We start from the raw sequence: 15799 nt of genomic DNA on the forward strand, positions 1-15799 counted from the left end.
TCCTGACATGCACCACACTGCTCCATTTACAGCTTTGTTGAGAAAGTATTTGTTGAACACTTGTTATGTGCAAGGCACTTGCCTGCCTCTGGGGATGAATGATGAATATGGTTTCCTTGCTCTGGATGAGTGCCCAAGTTAATAGGAGAGACAGATCATTTCCATTCAGACTGATAAGTGGTGTTATGGAGGGAAGCAAAAGAAAAACATCCGGGCTCACTGGGGTGGGGTTGGTTGGGGAAGGCTTCTCGGAGGAGGCATCAGCTTGGTCGAGTCCTGAAGGACAAGAGGTGAGGAGCAGAGGAGAGCATGAAGACGTCATGGTGGTGTGGAAGACAGGTCCTGAGTTCACTGCCATGGTATGAACGTACACCACATTTCCCTGTGTCTTTGTCTCTGTCAATCAGAATGACTTTAATTTTGAGTTGTAGAATAGCCAACTTAAATAGGCTTAAACAATAAGTGGACAACTATGCAGATGTAAAAAATGAAAAAGAGGCCATAACTACAGAGAGTAGAGACTTAAAAAATCTTAAGAGAAAATGAAATGAAGTACTCAGTTTTCTAGAAAAATAGAAATGAAATTGACAAAGAAATAGCAAATCTGGATACATCATGAATAATTAATAGATAAAGTCTCCTTGGCAAAAAGAACATCAGATGGTGGGACTGGTATACAAACTGATAATTGAAAGCAAAGGGGGAAATAGACAACTAATTTTATAGTCTTCTTAACAACACTGAACAAAGAAAATACCAAGAAATAATTTTAGAATGATATCATGATGAACATATATGAAAAAAATTCTACATAAAATATTAGTAAATTAAATTGAGTAATGAATTTAAAATATCTCAGGAATGTAAATATGGTTTAACAAAAATTCATGGAGTAATGGAAGAAAATTATATAATTTCCCCTGTAAATACAGAAAAAGAATGTAATAAAATTTCACAGCTATTTATGATATGAAATCCTTAGCAAGCCATAAATTCAAGAGAACTTCCTTAACCTGTCACAAACCAAGGGCAAATATTACACTTGATGGTGAAACTGTAGGCATATTTGTATTAAAGTCAGCAAAAACAAGGAGGCCTGTTATTACCTCTTCTGTTCCACATTATAGTGGATTTTCTCACCAATGCAATAGAACAAAGGAAAAATTTTAGATATAAAAAACAGTAGGAAGAGGTAAATTACTACTATTCATAGATTAAATAGAAAACCCAAGAGGATTATAAACTATTAGCACTTTTAAGATCTTAATAAGATCAATTGATGCAAGATCAATATACAACGATCAGCAGTATCCATGTTTACATGAAACAACAAATTAGAAAATAGACTAGAAATAGGCTTTATACCCACGAAACTATAAGTTGACTAGAAGTATATCTAACAAAAGACATGAAAATCATCTATGAAGAAAATATAAAATGGTACTGGATGACATGGAAGATAAATAGATAAAGAGGTATACCATTTTCATGGACAGACAGAATATTAATAAATCTCATAAAGATGTAAATTCCCCTCAAGTTCATCTATGAATTCAATGAAATCACAAGTAAAAAACCCACACATTTTTCCCGTGACATGCCAGTTGATCCTAAAAGTAACATGGAAAAAAGAATGGCCTAGAATTGCCAGGCACTTTTGAAGAAGAAAGTGTGGAAATTTTCCCTAAAGAGTGATCAAGGCTTAATATAAAGCTCTCATAATAAAGACAATGTGGCATTGGTAGGGATGACACTAGAGAGCTACAAACAGACCCCCACAAATGCATGGAAGCATTGCCTGTGAAAGATATGGCATCACCAGTCACTGGGGAAAGGGTTTTCTGTTTATTGAATGTGCCAGGCCAGTTGGTTATCTGTACCAATAGAACTTGGATCTTTACCTTAAAGAATACACGAAAATGCCTGTAATCCCAGCACCTTGGGAGGCTGAGGCGGGCGGATCACGGGGTCAGGAGATGGAGACCGTCCTGGCTAACATGGTGAAACCCCATCTCTACTAAAAATACAAAACAATTAGCCAGGCATGGTGGCGGTCACCTGTAGTCCCAGCTACTCAGGAGGCTGAGGGAGGAGAATGGTGTGAACCTGGGAGGCAGAGCTTGCAGTGAGCTGAGATCGCGCCACTGCACTTCAGCCTGGGCAACAGAGCAAGCCTCCGTCTCAAAAAAAAAAAAAAAAAGAAGAATACACAAAAATAAATTCCAAATGAATTAGAGATCTAAACATGAAAAGTAAAACATTGAGGGAAAAATGAAGAAAAAAATATTAACACAGGTACAGAAAAGAATTTCTTAAATAAAATACAGTTAGCAGAAACTATAAAAAGTTTGATTAATCTTGAAAATGTGTTAAATTAAAATATTGTTATAGATAATGATACCATGAATATAATGAATGATATTTTATTTATATAGGGAATTAAAAATGTGATGATATTTGTATGCACACAACCTTCAAAACATTAGTATGTAAATCATAAAGAACTCCTTATTAACAAATGCAAGACAAAAACTCTATAGAAAAGTAGGCAAAAAAATATTGTGGCAGAGATGGTGAACTTTCTTCTAGTATCCTTTTCCTCTTATTCCATGTGATAATAGAACACCTGGAGTTTTTGCTTACAAATGGCTGCCCTTCCAAAGACTACATTTTCCAGCTTCCTTGTAGCTAGGTGTGTCCACACGACTACATCTGGGCCAATCAGATGTTAGTGGAAGTAATGTGGGCATTTCCCAGTCAGGTATTTTGAAAAAGGCACTGTTTGCACAGCACTTGGACTCTCCCCACCCCCTTCTTGTAGGCTGGAATGCAGACTTTTTTTTTTTTTTGACATTAAAGCAAGTTTTTGAATTTGTATAACATACATTTTGAATTGTATAATAATGTTGGAAGGTTAGAAGCATGCATAATTTCTTTTTATTTATTTTATTATTTTATTTTATTTTTATTTCCATAGGTTTCTGGGGGAACAGGTGGTGCTTGGTTATATGAGTAAGTTCTTTAGTGGTTACCTGTGAGATTTTCGTGCCCCTATCACCTGAGCAGTATACACTGTACCCAATTTGTAATCTCTTATCCCTCACCCCCTTCCCACTCTTTCCCCCAAGTCCCCAAAGTCCATTGTGTCATTCAGACTTTATTGAAGGCTGGGAGTCATCTGGTGAACTGAGACTGGGTTTCACCATCTTGGCCAGGCTGGTCCTGAACTCCTGACCTCGTGATCCATCCACCTCTGCCTCCCAAAGTGCTGGAATTACAGGCGTGAGCCACCGCGCCCAGCCCACTGTGCAATTTTTAATGGCAGACACATCAGAAACAAAGATGTCAGAATATTTTTATCTAAATAGGTATTGGTGCATCCTAAAATGGGAAACTATTCAGTATTGATATTTATTGACATCAGTAAGTTTATTTCTATTTTTTAAAAGAAAGCCTACAAGGCAATAATCAATCTATTGCAAGTTTGTGTATTTATGGTGGGCCTTTGTTTGTGTGGGTATAGGATTGCAGGATGAGGAATTTTAGGGTGTCAACCATGAAAACTCAAGCTCCTATCAACCACAACAACCTTTCCCCCACTGGGAAGAGGTTACCTATCTCTCCCAGTCAATGAAATGGGTGGGCTGCACCTCAATCAATTGTGCAGGGAGAATGATTCCCTTGGTTTGACACTGAGGAGGTCTCTTACATAGCAGATGTGCTTTGCATGGAGAAAGAGGTGGACTTAACCAACTTAGTTGGGGCTAAAATGCTGATTTTTAGTTTTTTCAGTACATTTGAAACATTTTATAATTGATAAAGTTTTAAAGAAGTTATAACAGAAAAACTTACATTTGAAATAGCAGCCAGAGACTTCAAAAACCAAGAGATAACCTTTATAAGAAATGTGTAAGATCGCTATGAAAAAAACCAGAACACTTACTGAAGAGCTTAAAAGAGGATAGTTAAAATGAAATCTTATGCTAAAGCCCAATATATAGAATAGATGCTAATATTTGTTGTGCTAATGGATAACAGACTCCATTTATCAAGCACTTACTTATGCCAGACATCCAGCAAAGTACTTCACGCACGTTGTCTCATTTAATCTTCCAATAACCCAGCGAAGCAGGGATTACCATCATTCCTGCTTTGCATATGAGAACACCACAGAAGGTTGAGAACTCTGTTCAGAAGCAGAGAATTAGGAAGCCATAGAGTCAGATTTTAACACAGGAATGCCTGGCCCCAGAACCAAGGATCTTTGCTGTGCTGCAAAACCTCTGTCATTTAAGTGAGGTGAGGTCCTGGAGATACAGCCAAATATAAACTTCACTAATTCAGTGTTTCTCACATTCTCTTCTGTCTACTGTTCTGCTTTCAACTAATTTTAAAGATCCATTCTGTGTCTTTGGAGTTAAGCAACATAGGGGTGGCAGAAACAAGGTGAGACGACCCCAAGAGGGAAGATATGTCTGGGGCAAAAAAAGTGAGGGTGCTCCATGCTTGACCAGGAAAATTGGCTACTGGAGAAAATCCTTGAAGGCTCTGTGATTTGTTTGTTTGATTTGGGGGTTTTGTGGGATTTTTTTTTGGTGGGGGAGGACAGGATCTTGCTCTGCTGCCCATGCTGGAGTGCAGTGGTGCCATCATGGCTCACTGCAACCTTCGTTTCCTGGGCTCAAGGGATCCTCCCGCTTCAGACTCCTGAGTAGTTGGGACCAGAGGCTCACACCACTATGCCCAGCTAACTTTCAAATATTTTATAGAGACAGGGTCTCGTTATATTGTCCAGGCTGGTTTCGAACTCCTGGGCTCAAGTGATCCTCCCGCCTCGGCCTTTCTAAGTGCTAGGATTACAGGCATGAATCATCACGCCTGGCCTGTGATTTAGTTTTGATTGACAGGTGATATTCTGCTCCAAACAAGGGGGTAAGAAACTGTAGACTCCAACACACTGAGGTTCAAACCTCAGCTCTCCCACTTATTAGGTGTATGAACTTAGGAAAGTTATTCAGCCTCCCTGGACCTCAGTTTCTTTATCCAAAAAAAAAGGTTGTCAAGGTTATATGAGGTAATTCATGAATAGTACATAACAGAATTTAGCCGGTGGTAAGCCTGAGTTATCACTTACCTATTATCATCACTGTCATGGTCATTGATTTTTTTTTTTTTTTAAGATGGGGTCTCGCACTGTTGCACAGGCTGGAGTGCAGTGGTACAAACTTGGCTCACCACAACCTCCGCTTCTTGGGGTTCAAACAATTCTCCTGCCTCAGCCTCCCAAGTAGCTGAGATTACAAGCATGTGCCACCATGCACAGCTAATTTTGTATTTTTAGCAAAGACGAGTTTTCACCATGTTGGCCAGGCTGGTTTTGAATCCCTTTTGAGTCCACCCACCTCAGCCTCCCAAAGTGCTGGGTGTCGTGGTCACTGTCACCATCATACTTTAGTGCCTAGACACCACCAGCAGCACCTCAAGGCTTCGGTCTTCCTGCTGCTCTGGTCCAGCTGGTCAAGGTCCCCTCAGCAAGGGGCTAAGTGGATTTCTCATTCCCTACGGCTCATGATGGACCAAGGCCCTGGGAAATGCCCACTGCATCAGGCCCATGCACAGATCTCACAACTGAGAGTTGTTTGTGGAAGGCGGAATGAGAGACTGATGACTCAAGATAAGATAGGCAATCAGCTCCGACTCGCCACTGCAGACTTCTAGTCTACTTGTAAAATGAGTCTTGTCATTTATTTGACAGTCCCCAGGATTTCACAGAGGGGGAGGGACAAATAAAGCCAAGCCCCCAGCAGAGTGTTCCCAGTAGCCTCAAGTGTGGAGTTTGCTGTTCTTGGGGCCCCAGGACTTGGTTGAACCTCTCAACATCCTGGCTGTCTCCAGGCTCTCTCCATTCATTTCAGCCAGTGTTTGTTGAATGCCTTCTGGAAGGGATGACATCAGGGCAGATTTCCTCTTTAGTGGCCAGCAAAGTATTTCTGTTTCAAATAAATTCAACCTGGTTCCAGAAATTTACCTCAGAGCAGAAATGTCCAATCTGTACCCCTCTGACCACCTGCTGCCCTTTTGTCTTCTGTTCACTAAGTGGTCAGGATCACAGGCTTTGCCAGGAAAGATCTGGGTTCAGGCCACTCACGCACTGTGTCACCCCAGTCTTCACCTCATTCTGCTACCAGTTTCACAGGATTCTGATTGTGATGGATCAATCAGATGGTGCATGTAAAACATCCAGGACTGTGTGTGCCTCATTAAACTCATCCTAAGGAAAAGATCTGGTGAGGCAGAAGACTCTGGAGTCATTTTATCTGCTTTACATAATGTGTCCTCATGCCTCAGGTAGCTGTAGAATCCTTTGATGCCATAGTCATGAGGAGAGGAAGGCCCAGTCCAGTTATGGTGCCTGGCAGCCATGCCGGTGTAGGGCCAGGGCTTCTGCTTGGCCTGGCACCCCGCTTCTCAGTTGATGTCTTCCCCACCCACTTCATGCCTTGGGTTTGTCTTCTGTCAGTATCCTCAGCACCCAGAACAGAGCCGGGCACAAAGCTGCATCTCAATTAATATCTGCTGAATGAGTGATTGATTGAAAGAATGAATGGCAGAAAACAGAGAAACAGTGAAGGGAAAAAAATTATGACCCCACAGTCAACTGTAACTGCTGCCTACTCTTCAGTATCTCAATCCACAACACCTTCTCTCCTTTTTGTAGCTTTCCTGGGTCCCCAACCAGGCTTCCCTCCATGCACACACCTTGCCCGTCACATCCCTTTGTTCTCCCCCACTCCATCTCCCACCCTTCCATGATTGCATGGATTTTTCTTTATCTCTTTTCTCTTAGAAAGCCTACAAAGAGAAGGGAAGGGTAATGGAGCCCGCTGGTCATGGGTAACTCCACTGGGTAAATGTGGTGCCCTTACATCACCGAGCCTGGGTCACGGCAATGGAAGGCCCTCCTTAACACCAAAGGAACAGAGGAGCTGAGTGGCATCAGAGGGTGCACATCTGATGTGAGCCTGGAAGTGAAGGGTAGAGCCTACTCACAAGAGCATTTAGGAAAGTTAAAATTAAAAGAAAAAAAAAAAGCCATAGAGAGAAACGGTATTATTGTAGAGTCCACTATGACTACCCAATGAGGTAAGGGGCGTGAATGGCATTTCTGTAACATAAACCAGGGCTTCTCAAACTGCAATGTGCACAGGAATCACCTGGGGTTCTTGTTTCAATTTGCATTCTGTTTTGGTGGGTCTGGGGAAGGGCCTGAGATGTTGCATTTTCTAATAAGTTCCCAGGGGATGCTGATGCTTCTGGTTGGGAAACCCACTTTGGGTAGCAAGGGTTTAGTGGAGAAAGCACTAAAAAAGCTTCTGCTCATGTTTTATCTCATCTTTTAAAAGATGTGAATGGGTCACCCTGACAATAATGGAAGGACTCTGAACATCCCAGGGTTCAAAGGGGTCCTCTGGTCCCACATTCCCTCCTTTCACCTTCCACCCTCTGCCTGGACTCTCCCAGGCACAGGGCAGCCTCCTCCAGGAAGCCCAAACTGAAGGGGGTTGGAAATCCAAAGAGCTCAATTTCAAACCTCTCACTTGCTCCCCAGAGCTGCATCAGCTCCCACAGCATAAATGGGGGTGGCTTCTGTCCAAAGAACGCTTAAGCCACATCAAATTAAATTTCACTGGCTATTGTGCCTTCTAAACAAGGGATGCAAGAAAGTGTCTACAGGTGTTTTTGCCTCTTTCTTCCCACCCCACCCCCCAGCACATAAACACTAGACATTGAGCACCTGAGGAAACTGTGGGTTCTTTCTTTATTTATTCCCAAGGCTTTTGACATAGATGTTTGGTAAATGTTTGTTGAATTAGTTAACAAAAAGTTTGACTTTCTTTGGCTACTTTGACAAATCGAATTAGATTCTTTTAAGGCAGCCAAATTTCTTTTGCATGGCGGCACAGGTTTTGAGAGCTTGAGTGGATTTACTTAAGGTAACTGGCAGGGAGGCAGGAAGAAGAAAAATACCAAAACTGGTTCATGTAGCAAACTGTAATACTAATTGCTCATAGTATGAGGAGAAGAGAATTGGCTTATCCTATATGACACACACACACACACACACACACACACACACACACACACACAGAGTTTCACAATGGTAGGTATCTTAGATCTTGCCTAGACCTGAGATGACAAACACCTGCCATGAAGAAAGACCCGTCTCTCTCCGTTCCCATGCCCATGGCAGACATTACTAATCAATCACAGCACTTTCCCAGCTAAATATGGATATAATCTCAAAATCCTCAGTTTTGAATCCAACATTGGTTGTTTCTTCACCTGCCCACTGCTGAACTCCTATGTTTCTGAGCATAATTTGTCTGAGTATGTTCTTGCCAGGTTATCACCTGCTTGTAGTTCTCTTGTAAAACTGCATACCTGTGTTTTCTTTGCTGCCCATAAATCATAGCTCAGCTAGAATTGAATTACGTTAAGGGAAAAAGAGGTGAGATGAACAGTACACTCCATTTTACAGGGTATTATGAGAGTAGGGATTGCATCTTATACATTCATTCATTTATTGACCAGATTTTTATAAGAAACAGGCACTGGTTTGGCCTGTGTTTAATTCTACATGATAAGTCCCCTAATATGTGTGTTTGTGCTTGTATGAATAACGGAGATGGATGGATGGGTGGGAAAATATTTGATTAGTCACCTCTTATGGGGTGATGCCTAATAATCCTGAGCCAGGACAGCCCTCCCCTTTTGCCTCTTTCTCTGCCACAAGCATGTCATTTTCTGTTCCTCTTTTTCCCCATATTTATACTGAGCACACTCTACATGCAGATTTACCTGCATGCAGTCATCAAGAGGAAAACACATTCACTTTGTCTAGAGGTTTTTCTAGGAGTGTCTTAATCTGTTCCTTCTAGGCTCCCACCCAATCAATCACAATGATTATTTCTGTCAATGGAACTCATCTTTATGGAGAGTGTTATTGTGGCCAGTAAGGTTCTGTCATCTATTTAAGTAAAATTCTGTCTTAAACCTTTTACATAAACTGTCTTGTTTAATCCCAAGCACAGAGAGGCCAAGCAGTTTTTCTGAGTCCATTTTACAGTTGAAGAAATAGAGGCTCAGAACACCACGTGATTTCTTGAGATCATACAATTAATAAGTTACAGAGCCGAGATGTAAGTCCAGTCCCCTTGACTCCCAAGTCTGTGCTCTTGCAAAGAGGACTGTGGTTGGTTGGAGTCTCAGAAATGAGTTATTGGTAAGGTTGTACCAAGAAATCAGACATTCCTGCAGTTTATAATCATCTGCTTGCAGAAAGAGTCATTTTCTCCAAAGATAGTGAGAAAGATGGTCACATGGCTCTTCCTGATGATGCCAGGAATGCAAGGCTCCTTGGCCCTCGCAATCCCCATTGTCCAACTCTCCCTTGGGTGTGGCTAAGCCTTCCAGAGGGGAAGGGCTAGGCCAGAGTTGACAGGGTGCCCTGCATCTTCCACAAAGGGGCAAGGGATTCCTTCCTTTCAGGCTTCACCCAATTAAGGATTTCTGAAGAGAGAGCAGGAGCATCATTCGGGTGACATCTTTCTCCTGGCCTGCCTGCTCCATCCCTGCCTCCAGCCCCACAGGCAGCAGCTGCAGTGCTCCAGTCCAGCTGCCCCTGTGGACAAGTCTGGGAATGACCCAGGCACTGCATGTTAGCTCCTGGCTCTGGAACGGTCCCCATTGCCTTGTCCGGGCCACGGCCACCCGGGCTCCCCTGCTGAATTTGCTGTGACTAGGAAAGCCCCACTTTGTGTAATGGTTTAATTATCATGTCAATGTGGATTCATTAGCATGGCAGCTGTCATTGCAAATGGGGGAGCCAGGGGGCTCCTAGAGCCCCTGGGGTCAGGCTAATTGATGTAGTGAACAGAATACTGTATTTACTCAACAATGGTTTGAGTTTCTCTTCTGACCTGGGAAAGGGAGTGCTTGCTGGAATCAATAGCAGCTGAGTTTTCATTAGCAGCCCTGGGACAACATCTCTGGGCTTAACCCCTCCAGACCCACCCAGTCTTGGGTATCCCATTAGAAGGAGAGGCTGTAACTTCTACCTCTGCTAGGGACAGATAAGATGTGGGGGGCCCAAGTAGGGGAAAATATGTTCTTCACTCAATAGGAAGTGTATGACTAGGTTACAGTTCTCCTAATTTCCACAAGGGTCAAATTCTTTGGGTCACTCTTTCCACTGTGACCCTTCCAGCTAGTTCAAGGTATAGAACAACTTGGTGTTAATAAATATTTGTTGAATGAGTAATAACTCACTTTTTTATTGAACACTGTGCCAGACACTGCTCTACATCCAACTGTATCAACTCATTTAATTCTCACAACCTTCTGAGAGGTATTGTTCTGGTTATCCTTTGTGTACAACTAACCACTCTTACTGTCTGAAAGCAACAACTTATTGTTATTATGTCTCACTATTCCACGGGCTAGGAATTTGGATGAGGCTTATCTCTGCTCTATTATGTCTGAGGCCTCAGGATGACTTGAAGGACTGGAGGTTGGTATAGCTGGAGGCTGCCTGGGCCTCTCTCTCTCTCCCTAAAAACACAGCTTCTTCAAATGGCTAGCTTGGACTTCCTCAAGCATGCTGGCCTCAGGGTAGTTGTGCCTCTTCTGTGATAATTCGGGACTCCATGAGACCAAGGTGAAGCTGACAATTCTTTTAAAGGCTACCCCTGGAACCAGCACAATCACCAGCCAGGTCAGATTTAAGGAGAGTGGGAAAAGGTGACACCTCTTGAATGGAGAGGTATCAAAGAATTTGAGGCCATTTCTAATTCTCCATAAATACTATGATCATTTCCAAATACAGACCAAGAAACCAAGGCCCAGGGAGAGAGTAACTAACTTGCCCAAGGTCACACAGCTAAGTGGTACCAGAATTTGGTCCCTGACAGTCTGGCTCTTGAGCCCTTAATTGCCACAGACCTACTCTATGACCTCGAGTAACTCACTCCTCTCCTTAGGCTTTGGCTCCTATAAAGTGAAGGGGTTGGGCCATATTCTCTCAAAAGTCCCTTTTAAGTGTCCAGAGATTCCTCAGAAAAGTCAAATCAAGAGGTGTAAGAACCGGAGTCAATGGTAAGGGGGTGTCTGGGCCTTTGGAATAAATTCAGGGGCAGTGAATGCACTGCCAGAGGCTGCTCCCCAGCCTCTATCAGGCCTTTATTTACAACCTTGAAACGTCTCTAGAGTGGGACTCTACCCATGGACTTTTCCAGCATCTGATTAAGAGAAGGAACCAGCACTAAAGGGAACCTTTCCGCAAAGGAGAAATTGTCTTGACAGCTTTAGGCTGCCAAAAATCCCATGCGGATCAGGCCCCTGGGGAGTGAAGTTGTCGGGGCTGGTAGTTTTGTGGATGGGACTAGGACAAGAATGGGAACACAGTCTGGCTCACACAGCACAAAGTGCCTATGTGACCTCAGGCAAGCCATTTAACCTCCCTGAGGCCCAATTTCTTCACCCGCAAATTAAAGAATTTGACTAAACGTGGGAGGAAAAATGGGCTTCATCATTGGTGCCAACTTTAACTGATTGCAAGTGGCTTCCCAGAGGCCTGTGCGCAGGGTCTGCAGACTGTGCTGAAACTATGCAATGTGATAGGAAGCTCCCTGGAGATGGAGTTAGTGAGAGACACCTGGGTTCAAATCCCAAATCCTCTACTCAGTAATTTTGTGATCTTTGAAACTCCATTTATGGCCTTTTCATCTGCAAAGTAAAAATCATAAGGCTTTTCTTCATAGAATTGATGGGTGACTTAAATGAGATGACATAGACAAGCCTGTCAACCCAGAGCCAGGCACGCAGTAAGGATCAACAATGTTCATTAAATCTGAAACCTACAATCCATTGGGATACACAATGCCAGGCAGAAAGGCCTTTAGGTATGTAACTAATTTCTGCTGAAGGTAGCAGAGCCCATGTTTTAATAGTCTGTGACATTTTAGAGGAACTTTAAGGTTGTAGTGAATGCTGTTGACATGATAGAATATGGAAAATATAAAATAAATACACTTTTCTCATCTGAAAAAGTGAGAATAATACCTGCCTACAAAAGATGCGTAAAAGTGGACATTCAATGAGGTAAAATTTGTAAAACACCTAGCATATAGTGAGATCTTGGTCATCAAGGGCCTCTGTGGCAGGGAGCTGCAACCACATCACCCTTCCCTCACCTCACATCAAAGAATATAAGCTGGAGAGAAAAAAAATCCATGAATAGAATCAACATAGGAAAAACCTTAAGTTCATCTTTTACTCTTCAGCAGAAATTGCATCTATGAGTAAGTTCTAAGAATGTAAATGTGAGGCATTCTGACCATAAATATGGCAATGTCGGGCAAGGAAAACCAGAGTCTGATGATGTTGTGGCCTCATATTTGGTTGGTGACCTCTCAAATTTAGACCATCAAATATGCAAATGGATGGGCATTCTTCATTGCACCACTACAACGCTGATTATTATCCAGTATTACATAGTGAATGCTTACAATGTGCCAGGCACCATGCAATGCATGCACTCTGGATGTGCATTGATTTCTTTAATCCTCACAGTAAACTGATGGGACAAGTCCTACTATGATCACCATTTTCCAGGAGGGCACGGAGATATTTGGAAATGTCCAACATCACACAGCTAGTAGGCAGTGGAATTGAGCCCGTCTGGCCCCAGAGCCTGTGTTCCCAACTACACTACATCTGAGTGACAGATTTTGTCATTTTGGCTTTTTTAGGGAAACAACACTGCATAGGAAACCTACCACTCTTATAAGCCAGGAAGGCCTAGGGAGTGATGGAACCAGGCAGTCCCAGGTTCCAATCCCAGCCCCAGGCCTTCCTATCCTTATGACGCTAGGCAAGAGACTGACTAACCTTTGTGAGAATCACTCTCCTCGTCAGTAAGGTGGGGAACCCTACTAGGAGGATAATGCCTGTCTTGTTCCGTTGCTGTGAACGCTAAGTTAGACGATGTGCATAATAGGCTTAGAACCATGCCTTGCACATAGTAGGTGGTTAATTATTGCTCATTTCCTCCTCTTTAAGACGGGATTTCATGGAATTTTCAGCCTCACTGAGACACTTACGATAGGTCTGGGAACTAAAGAAACCTCAGAACTCCAAATCAGTAGAGACATGTCTTCCACGTGAACCTCTGTTAAATACTTTGTTATATGGATATACTTTTGTTATATGGATATAAATACTTTCTTATTTGCATATATGTTATATGCAGTTTTTTGGTACATTTTTCAAAAATAAAAATATAGTTTTTTGACCACAAAAAGCCCCTCTCTGCTTGGGGTTTAATGTTGACATGAGAAATAAAGCTATGATGATTCAAGAATTTAAAAATTAAGATTTATACAAACAGACCAATAATGCCCACAGATTAAAACCGAGTATTTCTTTTCCTTGTATTTTATAGGTTCATCACCTACTCTCCCCAGACTGCTTTTTCTTTTCATTAGACAACACTTCCTGCAAATTGTTTCTAACTTTGAGTAATTTGCTGACTCTCACTGGATACACTGTCCCTTTCCCTCCACCTCTGACACCCATTTTGCATTGTAACCAATGCAGTCTCCCCCACCACCACCACCCTACCTTCCACTGGGAATGATCTCTTTATCAATAATCCGACCCTGGAAGCCCAATGGGTGACTTTTTAGTGCCCCCGACACCAATGCAGATGGGGGTTTTAGATCCCCAGTGTAATCCCAGCCTGAAATGTTACCAGGAGCCCCACGGCTCTTCAATTACCTCTCTTGGCCTGTCAAGACCACAGCATCTCAAATTCAGTTAGCTGGTCTTTGGGTATCAGCCAAGGCCCAGCCTCTGCTCCTAATGACAGCCAGCTGAGGGGACACTGAGAGGGGCTAAATTCAATTTGCAGCCCTTCTAATGAGATTAGGGGAGCAGGGTTTTTTATTTTCTCCAAAGTTTGCCATGGGCAGGATGAATGATGGCCCAGGGATGAGCTGTCAACATCAACAAAGGCTCTGAGCTGGGAGAGGGGGATGGGAAGCAAGGATGGGCAAAAGAAGGAGAGATTTTCCAGACAGAGCCAAGGAGCCCTGAGTGAGTCGCCTAGCAGGTGACAATGTCTGGTTGGCAGAATATCACTCTGAGGACAGGATGCAAAGTCAAGAACGAATCTGCAAGAAAGGCAAGTGCCAATCATAAGCAATATTGCCAGTAGAATCTCTGTCTTTTTTTTTTAATGCTTCTGAATTATTTTCCATCCCTTTTAACTGGCTTTTGAAAAGTCATTAAGCAAACCATATTTCTTAAAATAGGCCAACTCGCAAGAATTTTTCTAATAAAAGAGCAAGATTTCCACTGCTCTTTAGCCTGGAATAGCTCAGTCCAGCACATCTCTTGGCCAAGCAGGCCTGTGAATCTCCCACCAGGGTAGCTCCCATGAGCTGGAGTCTGGACAAGCCAGGACCTCCAATGCATGCACTGTGTTGCAGGTGGTGGTGAGGAGCTGGAAAGTATTTCACTTGATGTGGAGTAACTTTGGGGTGAGGTGTGATGTGCCGACATTTTTCATGGGTGTTCTAGTTAGCACCTGCCTGTGTTTGGCACCATAACTGGGAGTAAATACTGACTCCTCCCTGAGTAGCTTCAGGTCAGATGCAGAGATAGAGGAAATTGAGTAGGATATTCTTCTGGGTCAATGTGAGTGAGATAGATGGACATCTCTTTAGGGAATCAAGAGAGGAAGAGGTCTCTGTGATTGGGAGACACCAAGAAAACTTCGTTTTTAGGAGGTGGCCTTGAGCTGTAACTTGGACTAGGGTGGTATCTAGGAAGGCCAAGAGAAGAGACCCAGACATTTCCTTTGTGGCTAAAGACCTCAGTGCTTCCACTTGTAAGCCCAGCTGTACTTTGGTCCAGGGTCATTCCTGGTGGGGACTACGATGGTCCTGGACCCTAGGCCTGAATCTTGTCCTCTGAGTACTGATTTGTTCACTGCGCCTTCTTAGAGCTCGTCAGAGATGGTCCATTTGCACAGCAAACCTCCTGCCCAGCTTCTGGTCCCACACTTGCATCCTCCATTGGTGTGAAAATCCTGCACTAGAGCCAGGCTGTGGTCCTGGCATCTCGAGTTGCCTAGATATCCAAGTTCTTCTCTGAATAGCAAGAGATGGGACACACATACTTTGTCTCTTGTCCCCCCGCCCCCCCAGACACTGCCTGAAGCCTTGTTCCTAATGGACCAATAACCAGGGATCATGACATTGCTGCTCTTCCAGTATTTCCCTGTTACATGGGAATCCACCCAAACCAAGGCTTTTACTCAGCCTCGGAGCAGGTCAGCTTGAGTTAAAACCCTTCTGGGCAACTAATATGCACCCATTAAATATTTATTGGCTGAATTGGGTCCATGGAGGAGGAAAAACTTGATTGAGGCTTGAGCGTGGGACTTTTAGACAAGTGGCTAGAAGTGCGAAGGCATTCTCCCTAAAGGCAAAAGCTCAGAGTCAGCATCTTGTTGTTTATTGTTCAGAGGACAACAGTTTCTCTTCTTTCACTCTTGATGGCCAAGTTTAGACCGCCATTGCCCAACAGTCTCCAGGACAGCTCATCAGGGCCCTTGGTAGTCCAGGAGGCCCTTGGTCACTCAGGAGGCCCTAGTGATAGACCCCCTAGTCTGCCTGCTCATGGGAAGATACTGCTGATTTCCATAGATCAAGAGGGTTATTCTGCTCACACCACA

General features: G+C 43.2%; 1 long non-coding RNA gene across 1 annotated transcript in view; it reads left to right on the forward strand.

The window, feature by feature from the left end:
* The window catches only part of LOC401324 (uncharacterized), a 62622-nt gene that overhangs the window by 43063 nt on the left and 3760 nt on the right, over nucleotides 1-15799 (forward strand). The window lies entirely within an intron of this gene.

This window comes from Homo sapiens, chromosome 7 (assembly GCF_000001405.40).
Source record: "Homo sapiens chromosome 7, GRCh38.p14 Primary Assembly".
Taxonomy (NCBI): domain Eukaryota; kingdom Metazoa; phylum Chordata; class Mammalia; order Primates; family Hominidae; genus Homo; species Homo sapiens.